Below are 18087 nucleotides of genomic sequence, written 5' to 3'. Positions count from 1 at the left end.
GACAAACCAATAAAAAGTCTTGTATTATGAATATTTACATCTACTACTTCTTGAAGCTTTCTTTCTACTTGGATCTCTGTTACTTTTCAAACACTTCACTCATTCTTCTACAAATCCAAGGATTTCACTTTTCATGCAACACAATTTTGCTGCATTATTTTAAGTTTTACCTGACACATATCTCTGAGCACCACACAGTAGAGCCAATTACTATAGAACTTAAACACCTAAACTCAAACTCATTTTGGTGCAAACTTCAAAATGTAGTTCAAACTACATTTGAACCCATACTCCCAAAGGCACCTCCGACTTATTTTGCCCATAATCTAACTCATGAGACTCCACTCAAACAAGCCTCTTTTTTTATCTCAGCCAACAACACCATCATACACTCAAGTTCCCAAGCTAGAAGTCATCACAGATTTCATCTTCTCCTTTATAGTACTTCTCCATCCCCAGCAAATCTCCGGGACTCATCAGTTCTCCCGAGTATCTTTTGACTATGTCTCTGTATCCTACATTCCTCACCCTTCACTACCATTACTGAGCCATTCAATTAGGTCTACTGAAGTATCCACTGTGTGTCAGGTATTTGCTAAGTACTGGGGATACATGATGAAGAAAATAGGTATAATATCTCCACTAATGGAATTTATGCTCTAATGGGGGAGATGGACATTAAACTAATAATTTTAAAATTATGACATTAATAAATATGATCTAATAAATATAATTACAAATAGAACCATATAAAGGAAAAATGCAGGATACAATGAAAAACTATAATAAGGAAACTTGATTAACAATGAAAGGTCAGAGACATCTCTGAGAAAATGATACTTAAGCTGACACATAAAAAAGGGTCAGAGATAGCTATGTAAAGAGTAAGAAAGAGTGGACAAATAAAGGAGTTGGTGCAAAGGCCCTGTGGTTAAAAACACCTGGCTTAAGGAACTTCAACAATTGAAGAGGAGTGACGCATGCTCTGGCCAAGGAATAGGTAGCAGCCAATTTCTTCAGAGCCTTGTAGGTTTTGCGTTTCGTCTCAACTGTAACAGGAATTCACTGAAGGATTTTCAAGCATAATCAAATTCAGTGACATCGTCAAATTTGCTGTTGTTTCAGCTCAAGCAAGAGAAAATAGGGCGTGAATTACAATGGTGGCCATGGAGGTAAATAGAAGGAGATTTGAAATAGATTTCGGAGACAGAAAAGACGGAAATTTGGTGGTATGGAAGGAAAGGAAAGGAAAGTGTTAAGAATGACTTTCAGGCCAGGCACGGTGACTCACACCTGTAATCCCAGCACTTTGGGAAGCCATGGTGGGCAGATCATGAGGTCAGGAGATCAAGACCATCCTGGCCAACATGGTGAAACCCCCATCTCTACTAAAAATACAAATTTTAGTGGGGCGTGATGGTGCACGCCTGTAGTCCCAGCTACTCGGGAGGCTGAGACAGGAGAATGGCCTGAACCCGTAAGGCGGAGCTTGCAGTGAGCCGAGATCGCGCCACTGCTCTCCAGCCTGGGCAACAGAGCGAGACTCCGTCTCAAAAAAAAAAAAGAATGACTTTTAGGTTCCTGTCTTTTTTTTTTTTTTTTTTTTTTTTGAGACAGAGTCTTGCTCTGTCGCCCAGGGTGGAGTGCAGTGGCGCGATCTCAGCTCACTGCAAGCTCCGCCTCCCGGGTTCACGCCATTCTCCTGCCTCAGCCTCCCAAGTAGCTGGGACTACAGGCGCCCGCCACCACGCCCGGCTAATTTTTTGTATTTTTAGTAGAGACAGGGTTTCACCGTGTTAGCCCAGATGGTCTCGATCTCCTGACCTCGTGATCCACCTGCCTCGGCCTCCCAAAGTGCTGGGATTACAGGCGTGAGCCACCGCGCCCGGCCAGGTTCCTGTCTTAAAACCTCAGAGGGCAGGTGAAATTTCCCAAAATAAGGAACACTAAAGAGTGAAGAGTGGATTTGGGAGGAAAGATAAAAGATTCCATTTCTGTATTGAATTTATGATGCTTGTAAGACACCAACAACTCAATAAAGATGTATTTAATGTTGGTGTAAAATACCAAACAGACATGTAATCCATCTTAAATTACTTTAAAATCTTTCTAGATGGATTTCCCAAAAAAAAAAAAAAATGCTATACATTCACCATTTTTTAAAAAATGTCAGAACTGGATTTTTCCATTTGCAAGTATTGATTGCCTTCCACATTTTCTTTGCCAATTTTTTACAGTGTGCCATAAACCCAGAGCAGGTTTCTCTCTTTATTCCCCTTATCTTGCTCAGAACATAAATAAAAAGCCCTTTGTAGTTGTTAATATTTTCTTCCAGACTCACCTCACTCTGAGTTTTAGCCTTCCTAGCACAATTCTTCCTCTTCCAGTCCATTCCTTTATTCCTGTTTAAGGCTTTTCACCTTGCCTGCATTATTTTGAACCTATCCTTTATATAGCTGAGTTTATCAGAAGACAATATGTGCAGATTTATCCTTTTGATAGTCATTGGGATTACTTGAAATGGTTGGATGGCTCTCTCCATAAGGAACAAAGCCAGGGGAGAAATGGCTGTTTGAAAACAATTTTACAGTGTTTCTAAGAAAAACACTTTTATTTAAAAGGTACAGAAAGGATCGTTTTTAAAGCATTGCAGAGAAAGCCTCAGCTCCCCATATTAAAAAAAAAAAAAAAAAAAAGCCACTTTGGGAGGCCGAGGTGGATGGATCACGAGGTCAGGAGTTCGAGACCAGCCTGGCCAAGATAGTGAAACCCCTTCTCTACTAAAAATACAAAAATTAGCCGGGCATGGTGGTGGGCGCCTGTAATCCCAGCTACTTGGGAGGCTGAGGCAGAGAACTGCTTGAACCTGGGAGGCGGAGGTTACAGTGAGCCGAGATCAGGCCACTGCACTGAGTGACAGAGTGAGACTCCATCTTAACAAAACAAAAAACAACAACAACAACAAAAATGGATTCTGCAGGTCAAAGATGGTAGTTATGTGAAATTTTCTTTGCAAATTGAACGTATTGCTTGGCTAACACATGGTGATGTGATGTTTGAGTACTGGCAGTAGTGTGTCTTCCACTCTTGCTAAGGGACAGGTCTTTTCTTAGCCTAGGTCAGTTTCATTAGGAAAAATTGCCCTTTTACCCACTTCGAGCAGCTTAAACAAATTATCTCAAAGAACTGCAGGGCTTAACCCATTTAATGAATTTTAATAAGGAATACATGAATCAGTCAAAAACCAGAAAAAAAGTGAATAACATTGAACTAGTTCTCATGGAAATTAGCTCATGACTCTGCTGGCTTACATTTACCAAAGGCTAAATTTTTGATGGAAAGCTTAGGTCTGTTTTCCAGGCTGTGGGAGAATGGGAGGATCTTTAAATTAAACATTAATTTTATTAGTGGTATTTTTCTCCATCCAATTAACCCTAAATGGAGATTATAAAAGCCCTGGGGCTTTTTTTCCTCTTTGGGAAACTTTTAAAAAACAGTTTCTTGTATTGAAAGAGTTTCTCCATAATCCCTGAAATATTTTCAGAAATGTAGTGAGAATGTGAATTCAGTTTATTCCCTACAATCCTTCATAAAAAAGGATAATTTAAGAGGTAGAAAGGTCTGTGTGGGTGTTCAGGTGAGTTTCCTGTCTTCCAGCAGGGCATCACAGGGACTGTGAAAAAAAAACTCTCTCCATTTATTACTTTCTCTTTTTTCTCTCTTACACATGTGATATGTGCACACTTTTGTTCTCTCTTTTCACTTTTTTCTTTTATTGCTTGAAAAAAATTTAATTGTGGTAAAATACACATAACATAAAACTTATCTTACATCTCAGTGTACAGCTCAACAATGTTAAGTGTATTCAAATTATTTTGTCTCCTTTTCTTATGTAAAACAGAACACACAGCTTTAGGGCATGGAAATCAGTAGTGAAACATATCTTTGTTTAAAAGTCGTTCCTACTCCTCTTCTGTGCTTAAAAAAAAGAGAACTAGAAAGTGTTTCCCCAGCATCTCCATCATATTTAGTAACTGCAGAATCCCCTATGAAATACATGACGTTGTAACAGTAATCTTCAAAAGTAGAATCATATGTTCTAGCAAATATTTCAGCTAAAGGAGAAACTATTTCACATTCTGCAAATGGGAGTTCAGTGTATCGACTGGAATACAGAAGGATGTTGAAAGACTTAGTTCTGTTTGGGAAAATTCCTGAAAATCTTGAAAAGTTGTCTTGGCGGCCAGGCGCGGTGGCTCACGCCTGTAATTCCACCACTTTGGGAGGCCGAGTCGGGTGGATCATGAGATCAGGAGTTTGAGACCAGCCTGGCCAATATGGTGAAACCCCATCTCTACTAAAAAATACAAAAATTAGCTGGGCATGGTGGCACACACCTGTAGTCCCAGCTATTCAGGAGGCTGAGGCAAGAGAATCGCTGGAACCCGGGAGGCGGAGGTTGCAGTGAGCCAAGATCACGCCACTGCACTCCAGCCTAGGCAACAGAGCAAGACTCCATCTCAAAAAAAAAAAAAAAGAAAGGAAAAGGAAAAAGAAAAGTTGTCTTGGTGTTATGCCAAATTGACGATATCATGATAGATTAAAGTTGCTCTTCATTGTATTTTGAACTCTTATTTGAATTGGGGTGATTTTAAGAAAGTTCATAATCTTTTTGCCCTGTGAAAATAAATAATAATAAAACTGTTACCACACAAATGCACACCCAGAGAGGGGATCTCCACTTCAGATCTACTGTAAAGACATTGATGTTCTTTCATTTTGGTTATCATGTGTCAGGAAAAGTAAGTTCTGAAAAGAGCCACTCTAATTTGCATCAAGCAGTTTGAAAATGGCCTTTTGTGGCACTAGCATTGGCCACAGCATCCTGTATCACATGAGGTGCCCTCAGTCCAGGATCCCAATGAGAAGGCAGTCAGCACAATGCAATGATCTGTATAGCAAATGGAATGTTCTAAGGTTTCTCAAAATCAAGATTCCTGACAATAAAGGAAATAGTAAATATTTTCAGGGCTTTTTTTTCTGAATGAAATAAATATTACCTGCAGTAGATGTTACTATTGTGTTTTTATTTTAAAATGGTTACCAGGGACATATATAAATTGTTCTCTATATAGGATGACCAGATTTCGCAAATAAAAATATAGAATTCCTAATTAAATTGAATTTCAAACAATGAATAATTTTAATATGAATAGGTTCCAGAAGTATCAAATAATTTTTAATAGCAGTATGTCCCATGTAGTATATGTCTCATGCTATATATGGAACATACTTACATCCAAAAAAATTATTCATTGTTTTCTCCAAAATTCAAATTTGGCTGGGTATATATTTTATCTGGCAACCATATTTCTGCAGTTCATTAAAAGTTGTATTTTGGGCCAGGCGCAGTGGCTCACATCTGTAATCCCAGCACTTTGGGAGGCTGAGGTGGGCAGATCACTTTAAGCCAGGAGTTTGAGACCAGCCTGACCACCATGGGGAAACCCCATCTCTACTAAAAATACAAAAATTAGCTGGGTGTGGTGGCAGATGCCTGTGGTCCCAGCTACTCAGGAGGCTGAGGAGGGAGGATCGCTTTAGCCTGGGAGGTAGAGGTTGCAGTGGGCTAAGATCACGCCACTGCACTTCAGCGTGGGGTGACCAAGTGAGACCCTGTCTCAAGAAAAAAATAAATCGTGTTTAGTTGACATGTAGATTTAATTTACATTTCAATAATGAAATCAGTGTTGTCTTTTTTCTTCTGTCATTTTCAAGTACCAGGATTTCCTGCCTAAACAATTTGCAATGTGTGTCTGTTTCTCTGCCCATCTCACTATGCTCTTAGATGCAGAGTTACAAATATATTCTAGTTTTATTTCTGGTTCCAAAGAAGACAGATTTTACAGGTGTAATCAGTTTTGTGCTTTATATTAAAACGCATCTATTTAAAAATAAATTTTAAAAATGCATCTAGTTTCTATATTAGCTACATCTAAATTTTTCCATTTATTCTCTTTTGTTTTATGTTCTTATCCATATTTCATTTAACTTACAACTATATCTTGAGCTCTTTTGCTTTTATCATAAGACGCAAGATTAAATAAATACATTTGCATTTGTACACACACAAATGCACACTCAAACACACAACAAGTTGCTAAGGATAAAAATCAATACATGATCAGTACGAAAAACATGAGTCAGATCATTATAAAAAAAATTTTAATCCCACCAGAGAATTCTAATATACAGCTTTCTACAGAAGTAGGGGAAATAAAGACCAGAAACTAAAACAAACTATTACTATTACTATTATTTTAAAGAATATGGCTCTTTTTCTATAAACTTGGTTTTATAGTGAAGACTACCTCAACTCAGAAAGGCTGAAGAAAAGGTTTTCTGTATCTCTGTTCCTGTTTCCCTATGAAAATGGGTGAAGAGATGCCCCAAAATTAATATTTTCAGGAGAACCAAGCCTAGCAAAATGCTTAGAATTGAGAAAGGCTAGGACGCCAAGCGAGGTGTAATAGTTTCTGGGTGATGAGGGGAATAGTGTCCTATGATCTGTGAGGCAAGCAGCAAAGGCGAAATTTAGCAAGCAGTTTTTAAATAATCATGCCCAATAGAAATTATTCCATAATTATTATTAGAAATTATTCCATTCACATGGAGTGTGGAAATTCACCACACAATACATGCATATGCAAAACTTCCTAGATCTCAGAAGTCTTATCTTGCTTTTGTGATCTATGTCCTACCAGAATAATTTCAGAAATAAGCTCAATATAATAACCAGCATGTCTCTTCAAGGACTTGACAGTTTTGATTTGGTTTTTAGTGCTTTTTAATTTTAATTGAAATAGACTAGATTTCCTAGAGGGGCCATCCCCACAAAAAAAGTAAGAAATGTGTAGTAGTTTGACCCACAACTTCCCATGAAGTTGAGCGGAAAGTTGGAGTTGAATCACATAGAAAATTTGACCTTCTGTCTTCATCAGGACCAAATTGAGTATATCCAAAATAAATGTTTTTCATTCATCTTAATTTAAATGTTTGTAACATGATTAATAATTTGACAGATACACAAAAATAGCATTTATTTTTAAGGAAATTATTCTGATGCTCTCTCTTACCATATAAAATTCCTTACTCTGCAGCACGCAACTTCTTTTTAACAATAATTCAGAAAGGACTACTATTGCTTCAAAGACTGAAGCTTCTGCAGCACAACTCAGCATTAGAAATATTCCAGAAACTGCCATCACGTGAGCAGTAAAGGAGCCCTGGGTTGCACCAATGGTCTGAGGTCAGACTGAATGAATCAGCCTTAGAAGAATGAGGAGCCCAAGTACCCATGATGAAAGGCAGTCAAATTAAACGCCCCCTCTCCTTGTCTCTTCTCCACCAGGCTCCTGCTTACACCATTTTAGTTCTGACACCATAACTCCTGAGACGGTAGATGATTATACATTTTCTATAGGAGGGAAAATCATCTTTCAAGATAACGTCTCATGTGGAGATGAGAGCACCATTAAGAGGAACTATTTTCAATACCTCTGTATCAAAGTCTAAGAATCCCAGCACCTGTCAGATGTGAAATAGCAAATACTCAAAGTCTGTTTGGGCATTGCAGGAAGAAGGTGATGACACAAAGAAAGTAGAGGAAATCATTGAATATTTTGACATGGTGAAAATATATAAATGACATCTTTTCGCAAAAGTGCTATTGCTGGCAATTCCGTAAAACAGCAAATAAATTTTATACTTCACTGAAGACAATGGTCAATCAGCCAATAGGTTAAAATCTGTTTCACTTTTAAACTCATGGTCAAATTGTTTTCATTGGTATTTTATAGAATGAGTCAAGGAGATAAATGTATTTATTTATATGTAATTTTTACTGTCAACTCTTTCCAAAAAGGATGCGATTAAATCCTTATGAACCACACATTGAACAGAATTTTTTTATTAATTGGAAAGAGAAATAGTGAACAGCATATGTAAGACAGAAAGAGAGCTAATTTTACCAACTTCTTGGGTAAGATGGTTATTACCCCTAAACATTAAGTGTAACTCTAGGTTCTAAGGAAAGCTAAGAAACATGATGGATTATATAGCTTAATTTTTTTTTTTTTTTTTTTTTTTTGAGACAGAGTCTCACTCTGTTGCCCAGGCTGGAGTACAGTGGCGGGATCTTGGCTCACTGCACTCTCCGCCTCCCGAGTTCCAGCGATTCTCCTGCCTCAGCCTCCCAAGTAGCTGGGATTACAGGTGCATGCCTCCACACCTGGCTAATTTTTGTATTTTTAGCAGAGACAGGGTTTCACCATGTTGGCCAGGCTGACCTCAAACTCCCGACCTTGGGTAATCCGCCCGCCTCGGCCTCCCAAAGTGCTGGAATTACAGGTGTGAGCCACTGCACCCGGCCCAGTTTAATTCTTTTCATAAAATTAATCATCACTTATTCACAACAGTGCATTGTGGTGCAATTAGTATTTTTGACATGCTGAGTTGGATTCCCTAATGTGTGTAGGTAACTATGTGTCCCGATTTCTATAGATATTTCCTACAAATGGAAATAGGAATAGTTGTCAACTATGCCCATTTTGAACAAGTCTGTTTTAAAGATGATAAACATAGTATGTGGCATGTTTTCAATATTCATTTTTATTAGGGATTTTATCAGAAACTACCTTATACTAACTTAAGTGAAAATTGTTGAAAGAAGGAAGATATATGAAAAGATATGATTTTGTTCTATGTGCTCAATTAAGTTTTGGATTGTTAGGATCAGCATGTGGCAGTGCCCTCTCCCTCTATTTTAAGCTTGTTTTATCACCTTTTAAAAAATTGATTTCATATGCTAAAATAATATTTTTTAAAAGGGAGTTAATCTATCCTTTACTTTTAATTATCTTAATCATTTGGATCACAACAGGGTTACTCGAATCATTATATTTTGTGATAATACAAAGAGATCAATACATTGGGTAAAAAAGGCTTCCATGATACATGATTCATTCAAGTAACAAACATTTTGAGCTCTTCACACAAAATGTCTGCTAGCACCGGGGCACAAAGATAGAAATCTGCCCCATCTCAGTGGAGAAACACTCACAAAAATTTATAGTGGAACCTAATTCATAATGTAGGCATATACGTTATTTTTAAAGTTAGGAATAATGAAGGCTTATTAATTGATTTTTAACCACATAAAGCAGGTAAATAAAACAACCATTTCTTATACCAAGCAAAGATATTTACCTTTGAAATCAAAATGTATGTCAATATCCTCTCTCTCTTTCCCACTAAGGCTGTGCAATAGAAATCCCTAAGGGTGACTGAGTTTTGAGCCTTGTCAAGCTCTGAGGATTTGATACATGTTCACTTGCCTTCTCTGTGCCTTAGCATCTTCAGTTGCCAAATAAGGAATGTTCTTAGAATCATTAATACAATTCCAATGAAATTATTTGATTTTGAGCTCCTTGAAGAAAACGATACAGCCAGGCAGAAGTTTTTGTTATTGTTCGCTGTTAACTAATTTAAAATCAATTACAATTATCTTAATATCGTGCCACCCATAAGTGGCAGTCGGTAATATTTTCAAAGTTCAAATATTGTTTTCTTTATTACAGGTTTCTTTTCTCCATGGAAAACTCCAAAGCCTGTAAGTTGGAATTATTATGCTTCTTTCTTTATTTCTACTTACTATTGCAATTTCATTTAATAAAAGTTGAATTGGGTGACCTCAAAATCTCTTTCAACTCTAGGAGTCTGTGATGTAAAAAAAATAAATCCTCTGTGTCCTTTTGTCTTGTATCTGTCCCACAAGTACATGAGTCACTCACCTTACCTTCCTATAAAAACAATTCTGCCCTTTTAAAAAATATATACTTACAAAATGAACATTAACACTATGCAGCCTAATGTAATGAAAATACTTTAGAAACCTTTTGTTTTTCTCCTGTCCACAATACAATGTAGTCTTCATAACATGGAATTTTTAGGAACAATACAAACTATAGGTCCAGAAGTCTTGACCTGCAAATTAAATCTAGTCCACAAAAAATTTAACTCTGTATATATTTATATTTACATTTTAATGTATGCAGAGCTACATGTGTGTATGTGTCATGTGTATATATATGTTAGCTTTGTATATATGTGTATATATAAAATAGGTATGTGTATGTATACATATAATGTGTGTATGTGTCTTTGTGTATATATATATGTATATACATATACACACACACATACACACACACGTATATTTAAGCTCTGTATACTGTATATATATTCTGCCAAACCTGACAAGCACTCAAAATGGTGCTTCTGAATCTTCTTCAGATACTGGAGATCTCTACCATCATCTGACCACTATAGGCCTACGAAACATGCTAAAATGTCTGCGCCAGTATAGGAAGCTGGTGGGTTTTAATAATCTTTTTGCAGAGCTAGGCTAGCCAAGTTGGCTTAGCAGTTAGAGGTGGTCTTCACTTGCAGATAGATTGAAACTATTAATTGCCCAAGTCCCAAGAGCTGGGACTGGTTTTCTGGCATCCCATTTTATGTGTTAGAATACTCGGCCCTAACTGGGATATGTGAAACCCATGACTGGAAGAGGCTGCAGCAAAGCAGAACACTCTCACTAAGCAGGACCTCATTTAGGATTTGACTCATCTGGTCCACAAAGAACATTAGATGGGAAAACCAGTCCTATTTAAGCTTAGCAAATCACTTAAGGATGCATGTGATTTTGAAAAGAGATACTTTTAAATGTTTAAAATGAAATTTGGTTTATCTTAACCAATGTCTAAATAGTTCCTTCCTTTCACCACCAAACTTAAATCTGTGCTCTGTGGTTATACACATCTTTATCTAATTCAACAAGGAACCTTGCGACCTCATCATGGTGCTACAATTATACAATCTAGTGATTTCCTTATACGTACCACATTTATACAAAATTATGTCATTTGGTATAATTGCAGCATTTGCTGTCATTATTGTAATTACATGCATAGTCAGTAATTCCAAAAATTGTTTTATAGAACTCAATGTACAATTAATCTTGAATCCATGTATTTCTACAAAAGCTAGGGCTTGGACTTCCACGGCATAGACAAAGGAAGGTAGAAGGCTGTAGATTTGATGTCTTCCATGTATCTACCAGAAACTCTTGAGGACTATAATGAGAGGAAGCGTGGCATTAATGTACTTGTTTAGGGTGCTGGTACTAAAGGCATTCTACCTGGACTCAAGTTTTGCTTCTTTTCCTAACAGATGACTTGAGCTAGCTACGTAAGCTATCAGTCTCAAGTTCTATATCTGTAAAATGGAGATAGTAACACCCCTCTCACATGGTTATTGTGAGGAATTCTATGAGTTAATCCATGTAAGGTGCTTAAAACATGTTGCCTCTACATGTTGAGCTTGAAAACATTAACTACCATCACCACAGGAAGCAGACCCTCCATTCATGAGCCTTTACCAAGTCACTGTATGAAATGAACATAGTTGACTAAACTATTAATCAAAACAAGTATATAACAATATACCCACAGTATGTAGGTTTATACACCTGTCCTCTGAGTGTGGCCCTTATTGGGCCTCTCTTATTCAGTCCCACTTTACTGGGCATGGACACCTTGGGACTGGACAAGAGAGGCCCAATAAGAAGCTTGTTGAGAAATGACCACGTGGCCGGTAACACAAACTCTAAATAGGTGAAGGCCAGGAAGACGCTAAGTAGAGTATTGATGATATCTTGGGTCAGAATAAGGAAATGTTATATGGGGTGAGCTCTAGCTTCCTCCTAGTCCTGTGTTACCTCCTGACTCTTTTCTGTCCTACTGATTCACATCTTATGCTATTCCATGTCAAGATAGTCACTTCCTGTTGAACAAGTAATATGCTAAAATAGTGAGTTCTCATTCTCTCCATCTGGAAAGGATCAAGTGCATTCTTCAAATACAGAATCAAGATAAATGCCATCATCTTCCAACCCTGCCCAAAATAGTGAGGGGGATGATTTAAACTACCCCACTTTCTACAGTAAGAAAACAGTTTCTGGACAGAGCATTTCATGGGAGTAGGGGAGAGGGGCCTGCCTCATTCATAATCTCTCTACTCCCTGTATGCACCCTAGAATCAGAAGCTGAGGTTGAAAAATCAGCCACAAGCATGGCCAACATGGCGAAATCCTGTCTCTACTAAAAATACAAAAACTAGCTGGGCATGGTGGCATATGCCTGTAGTCCCAGCTACTCGGGAGACTGAGCGGGGAGGATCACTTGAGCCCGGGAGGCGGAGGTTGCAGTAAGCCAAGATCATGCCCTTGCACTCCAGCCTGGGCGACAGAGTGAGACCATGTCTCGAAAAAAAAAAAAAAAAAAAACGGCCACAGCCATGAACAGAGTGTTCTGTTTTACTATTTGATGCCTGGGTGTGGACTGTACATCCAGGCTGCTCACTGATATTTCAGTGGCTGTCCGTTCATAAAGTTGCACAGACATCCATTCATTCACCAAGAGATACAGACTTCTCTCAGCTATAGAAAACAACTTTATTTCCATTTGTGCTTATTCTAGTGAGATGTTTATAAACATTGGCCTGGGTGTGGACACCACTGGGACTGGACAAGAGGGGCCCAAAAAGAAGCTTGTTGAGAAATAAACACCTGGCAGGTAACAAAAACTCTAAACAGGGAAAGGCCAAGAAGATGCTAGCCAGAGCAAGTGAGGCCCATCGACCTCAGTAAGGCGACAGGATCAGAATCCAGGGGGTTCATGAAGGTAGAAAGGAGCACACAGTGAGTATCCCAGGTAGAAAGCAAAAGTCCAGAGACCAAAGTGTCTAAGGAAGGAGGGAAGAGTCAATGGAATCCACCCCTCAGAAGGTGCAGTCAGGCCAGCACACCAGCCCCAGGTAAGGGGATGACCTCTGACCCCAGGGCAGGTGGTTTGTCCCATGGTCTTCTGGGTAGGAGCCACCAGGTAACTCCGTTTAGGAGGGAGCAGGGCAGGAGGTGGTGGGGAACAGAATAATATGTCTGCTTTTTCTTGGGTGCAGTGATTTTCTGCTTTACAGCCTTTTAGGAAACCCTGACAGAGTGACTCAAGAGTTAATGAATGTCACAACAGGAAGTTGTGAATGCTTTACTAAGCATGAACTGGACTCTTGACTAATTCCCCAATCTCTGTGCTACAGAAATTGTAGAATTTGTCAATCTGCCATGGCAGCCTTCCCAAACAGTGCCCAAAGCATTACTTGTTCTGTAGTTTTAAGATTGTTTTTTAGAAATACCAATATTTCATGTGAAGCATGTCCAATGACTACATGAACAATACATATACCAGCAAGACACATTTGGGTATGAAGTAACCCTCAATGGAATATGGGAGAAAGAAATAGACATTTGCTGAAGCCTTGTGATGACAAGTGGGAGAGTACTACAGCTCCCCAGACCATATTTCTAATTTATTTACTTTTTAGTATTTAGTATCTTATATTTGAAAACAGAAGGGATAAAGTCACAGCTAGAATGCATCCACATGCTGCCTAAAGTCAGCTAAAGTGAAAAATTACCGAGGATATGCCTTTACCCACAAATGTGGCCTTCCACATCATGGCAAGTTCACCCAGAATGGATGACCAAGGAAACCCAGAATAGCTTTCTGTATGAATTTTGCGATCAAATGAATTATGAAGTACATAGTTAAAGATTTTTACAAATGGGAGCACAAGCCCTTCTGAGCAGAAAATTCACTAAAATTCACTAAAACTCAAACCATATTTAACAGTTATTCCCCCCAGTGTGATATTATATAAACAATTACTTCTGTTAGAGTTACAGGGTGGTTCTGACCCAGGATCTGCCACTGGCAACTGCTGGACCTCAGACAAGCCACTTACCCTCTCTATGCTTCTAGAGATTATGTTTCACAGGAGGAAATTGAACTAGACTAGAGGTTTTCCATCCTTGACAGTTATAGAAACTTTGTTCAAATGAGATCTTGGGCAATAGCCCACATAGAAAACAAATTAAAACGAAGCCAGTCTTATTGAAGGAAGGGTCAGTGACCCATTTCTTTTCCAGTTTGCTGGCTCAACATGAACCCCTGCCACAGTCCCAGTCCCAGGTGGGCAGGGCAGGCCCCTGGTGTCTCTGGTGTTACACAGCACATGTGCACAGTTTAAAAAACACTGGAGTATATGGCACCTCACATCCCTTCCAGCTTGAAAATATTGATGATGGACAGACCAGAGGTGGAATCAGAGCCCCGACAAAAATATAGCTAGTGTGAAAACTAAAGCAGGACGGTGCCATAGGGGACAGAAAGTTACAATCCTGCCAAGTTCAATGTAGTGTATATCAAAACTGTTTTTTTTAAGTGGCCATATTTTATTCACTCACTAAATGTACTTTTTCTGAGTACTAACTATGCACTGGTAATACAACAAGTAGAAAGACGCAGCCCTGTTTGCGTCTGATCTGTTTGAGACATGGCTGGGTAGACTCGTGGTAATCACAGTTGGATGTGAGGAAGTGGTGCGAGGGGCAGGAGGGACAGGGCGGTCAGCAAGAGCCCTCTAGGAAAGGAGACACCTCCTCTGAATCTAGTAGCTAGGTGAAATGAGAGAGGGGAAGGAAGAGTGGAAAATACATGTAGAAAGAGAAATGAAGTATGCAAAGTTTCAGAAGCAGAAGAGAACTGGGTGGGTCCTCGGGAATGAGAAGCCAGCCCATCAGCCAATATGAGGAAGGTGAGCAGACCCAGGCTCAAAAGGAGCCCGCCATGACCCTCTAGGAAGTTTGGCCTTTGTCCTGAGGACCATGCATACTCAGAGCAGAGTTTCAGCAGGAGGGCAAACTAGTCTAAATCTTACATACGCTGCCGGTCAATTCAAAGCAGGAAGGAAAAATTGAGTTTGAATGAGGCATCAGTTGATGAATGAAGGTGAAGTTGGCAGTGCCAATAGGTGGTCTCAGGGAGTCTGGCTTCCTCCTTGATAAAAAATGGTATTAATCTCTGCCTTCTCTATCTTATGGTGCTATGGTGAGGATCCAAGAAGATCACGTATGTGAAAGAACATGATAAACTGGGAAGTACTCTGCAGGTCTTTAAATTATAGCAGTAGCAACATCAGTAGCAGCATTCTGGGGGAGGAACCACCAGATCCACAGTAAATGAGGCTTCCTAGAAGACTTTGAACAATCCCTGAATCCTAGATGGTTGCATAATTACGTCTAAACTGAGAGGAAAGCGACTGAATGCTCAAGCGTAGGAAGTTGTTGCGATATGCATAGGTGTCAAATGAGTATATGCAGACGACTGTATCTTCTGCTCCAGTGAAAGTGATGTAATATGTTGAAACCATCTTAGAAAAGGAACAACTAATACCATACATTTCTAAGCACCTACACATGAATCGTCTTGAGACACATTATCTTTATCTTATAGGGGGAAAAAAACAGAGAAATTAAGTGGTTTGCCAAAGATTACTGGCTAATTGTTGACAAGGTTATGTAAGTTATAGATAAGTTTGCATTCAAAAGTCAGGCACCACTTGTATTTATAACAGTTTATGATGTTGTCTTACATAGACATAAAATCTTTTCTTTCAAGGAATTTATGCCAAAGTTTTACCCATCCCCTGGAAGAAAAGTCCACAAGGCAAAAAAGGTTAACCTAAAGGTGACAAGAGAAATAGCCAGGAAGAATTTGTCAGTCATTTTCTCTGTCCTCTGTCACTTTTCAGATAATGGACCGATGGGAGAATCAAGGCAGTCCTCAAACGAGTTTATCTGCTCCGGCCATACCGCAGAACCTGCCCTTCCCACCTGCCCTTCACAGGAGCTCCTTTCCTGACTCAACAGAGGCCTTTGACCCACGGAAGCCTGATCCATATGAGCTCTACGAGAAATCTAGGGCCATTTATGAAAGTAGGCGTAAGTGAAAGCCACATGAAACAAGGGTACATTAATAATAGCTGAGGCCCTGCCAGGAGATATATTGAGGCTGAATGATCTGGCATGGTTTTATATTCTGAGTTTCAAAAGTGTTTCAAGAGCAGAGCCAGCTGGTCTAAAATTATCTTAGAAAGCCTGTTGACTCTAAAAGTCGGTTTATTATATCTTTTGCCTTATATTTTATCTCCTACTTTTCTTCCCCTAATCTCCTGAAGAAAATCGGGAATATATTTTTGGGGGTTGGGGGGTGAGGTTGCTGGTTTTGTTTAGGTTACCAAATACAGAAAAGAAGTGTTTGGCTTTTTTTTTAATCTGTTTAATCTGATCTTGAGCCTAAAGCATAGATCTTTCTTAGAGCCTTGAATATAGCCATTTAAAAAGTTAGGACCTTGAGTAAATTGTCAGCCAAGCCTTCCCAGCTCACAAGCATGAAATCAATTGGTTTCGAATGCAGTACTGATCTAGGTGCCAATCATCTCTGCCACAGTTTTCTGCTTCTCCTTCAGTGCAGTCAGGCACATTTGAACATTCAGTCTTAAAATATCGTGTATGCACTTGTCACCCTATCTGAAGGTCTTTTAAAATTGTTGTACTTTATAAACATTAGAAAACAAGGCTTTTGATATTGCTTGCACCATTGTTGTGCTTCTTTCTACCATCTTGCAAGTCATCTCCACATGTTAGAGGACAGGAATCTCACAGTATCAGAAGAATCTGTGTATTAAATGATCAGGAAACCCAGCCTCGTAGAAGAGTTTGGTCCCTGGCGCTCCCATTACGGTCTGCTGATTTCCTTTGCTTCAGTGTTCCATCAATGTCTTGTTTCCAACTTTATCATCCGTAGCATGAATAGCAAGTTTTAAATTGTGTGTGATCTCAGAGGATCTCAAATCTGCTTACTCTTTTGATGAGCTCAGGGGCTGAGAATTATGCACCCAGCTGGTAAAGGGGAAAGCAGACATAATACCTTTTCCCTATCCTCTACAACTCTTTGTAGAACTAATTTTGGTTGAAAAATAGTTAGGATGGCAAGCCATTGAGAAATCATTAATGTCAAAATGAAACATCCCCCAACCTGAAACCCACATATACTTTTTTTTTTTAAAGAAGCGGCTACATCAGAGCTACTGTATTTCATTCCTCTCCTTCTGGATGAACAAATGAAATATTTTTAGGTTGTATCATTAGAATGTCTTTGCTGTAGCAGAGTAAGAACAAATTAGGCATTCTTAGCTACATAATATAGAGTATGAATTCAGGGTATTAATGTTCATTAAACTGAAAAAAAATTGAAAAGATTTCAGCCCAGTTTCTAATACCTTTTCTGCTTTGATAACCAAGTATTGATGGAATGCCCATTTTGCTGTCAGCACTGTGAGGAGATACCAAAGATGAGTAATATGCCCTGCTCTCACACATTTAACTGGGGAAATAAGAATAATGAATGTAAACAAATAGAGAGTAAGATAAAGTTAACAGTTCTAAGATGCAAGTTGGAAGTGCATAGGATTAAAATATCATCCTCACCTCCTTGGCTTAATTTTGTGGTTGCATTTAGGGAGCATTAAGAGATGCTTCCTCCTGCTTTTTGCCTCTTCCTTCATCATTCACTTCCATCTTTTTTGCAATTTCCTAGCCAATGCAAAGCTTTGTGATTCAGGACAAAAACAATGTTGGTATTTATCTCCAGTTTTCTCTTTATGGTTGTCTGATACCATTGTGCCCTCAGTTTCTTGTACATGATGCTCTCTCAACTCTAAAACAATTATTTCTTTATCCAGCCCCTGCAATACTGTTTCTGTTCCTTGCCTTTCCCCTCCTCACCTGTAACAAACCAAGCAAACCAGTCCACCTTAACCTCCAGAGCTTTCTTTTTCAGTTCTCCTCTGGTAGCTCTTCATCGCCCTTTCCCTCTACAGCCGCAGGGACAGCAAACATCCTGACTCCCCACCTCACCCCACCGTGGGCCCCTCATCGGTGCTCTCCCTGTGCCGCTGCTGCTGCTGCCTCATCACAACCCCTTCCTGCTTTCATCAGCTCTCTCTAATGTTTCTAAGGTCACAGTAATGTTTTCAGGGTCAAAAATCTCAGAAAGCCAAAAGAGGACA

At 39.0% G+C, this 18087-nt stretch overlaps 1 protein-coding gene and 1 long non-coding RNA gene across 16 annotated transcripts in view; one reads left to right on the top strand and one right to left on the bottom strand.

Annotated features, from left to right (window-relative positions):
• Positions 1-18087, top strand: part of MAGI2 (membrane associated guanylate kinase, WW and PDZ domain containing 2) — a 1436613-nt gene that overhangs the window by 1242836 nt on the left and 175690 nt on the right. For 12 of the 15 annotated variants that reach the window (NM_001301128.2, XM_017012846.3, NM_012301.4 and 9 more), the window contains 2 exons: positions 9639-9670; positions 15769-15958. In NM_001301128.2, the coding sequence (NP_001288057.1) occupies positions 9639-9670; positions 15769-15958 (222 nt within the window). The remainder of the gene's footprint in view (positions 1-9638; positions 9671-15768; positions 15959-18087) is intronic. The other 3 variants (XM_047421093.1, XM_017012845.3, XM_017012842.3) reach the window with 1 other exon arrangement.
• Positions 1-18087, bottom strand: part of LOC124901684 (uncharacterized) — a 30058-nt gene that overhangs the window by 4412 nt on the left and 7559 nt on the right. The window lies entirely within an intron of this gene.

The sequence above is a fragment of the Homo sapiens genome, chromosome 7, assembly GCF_000001405.40.
Source record: "Homo sapiens chromosome 7, GRCh38.p14 Primary Assembly".
Lineage (NCBI taxonomy): Eukaryota > Metazoa > Chordata > Mammalia > Primates > Hominidae > Homo > Homo sapiens.
The sequence above is the reverse complement of the archived record's forward strand: the minus strand, read 5'-3'. Positions and strand labels throughout refer to the sequence as shown.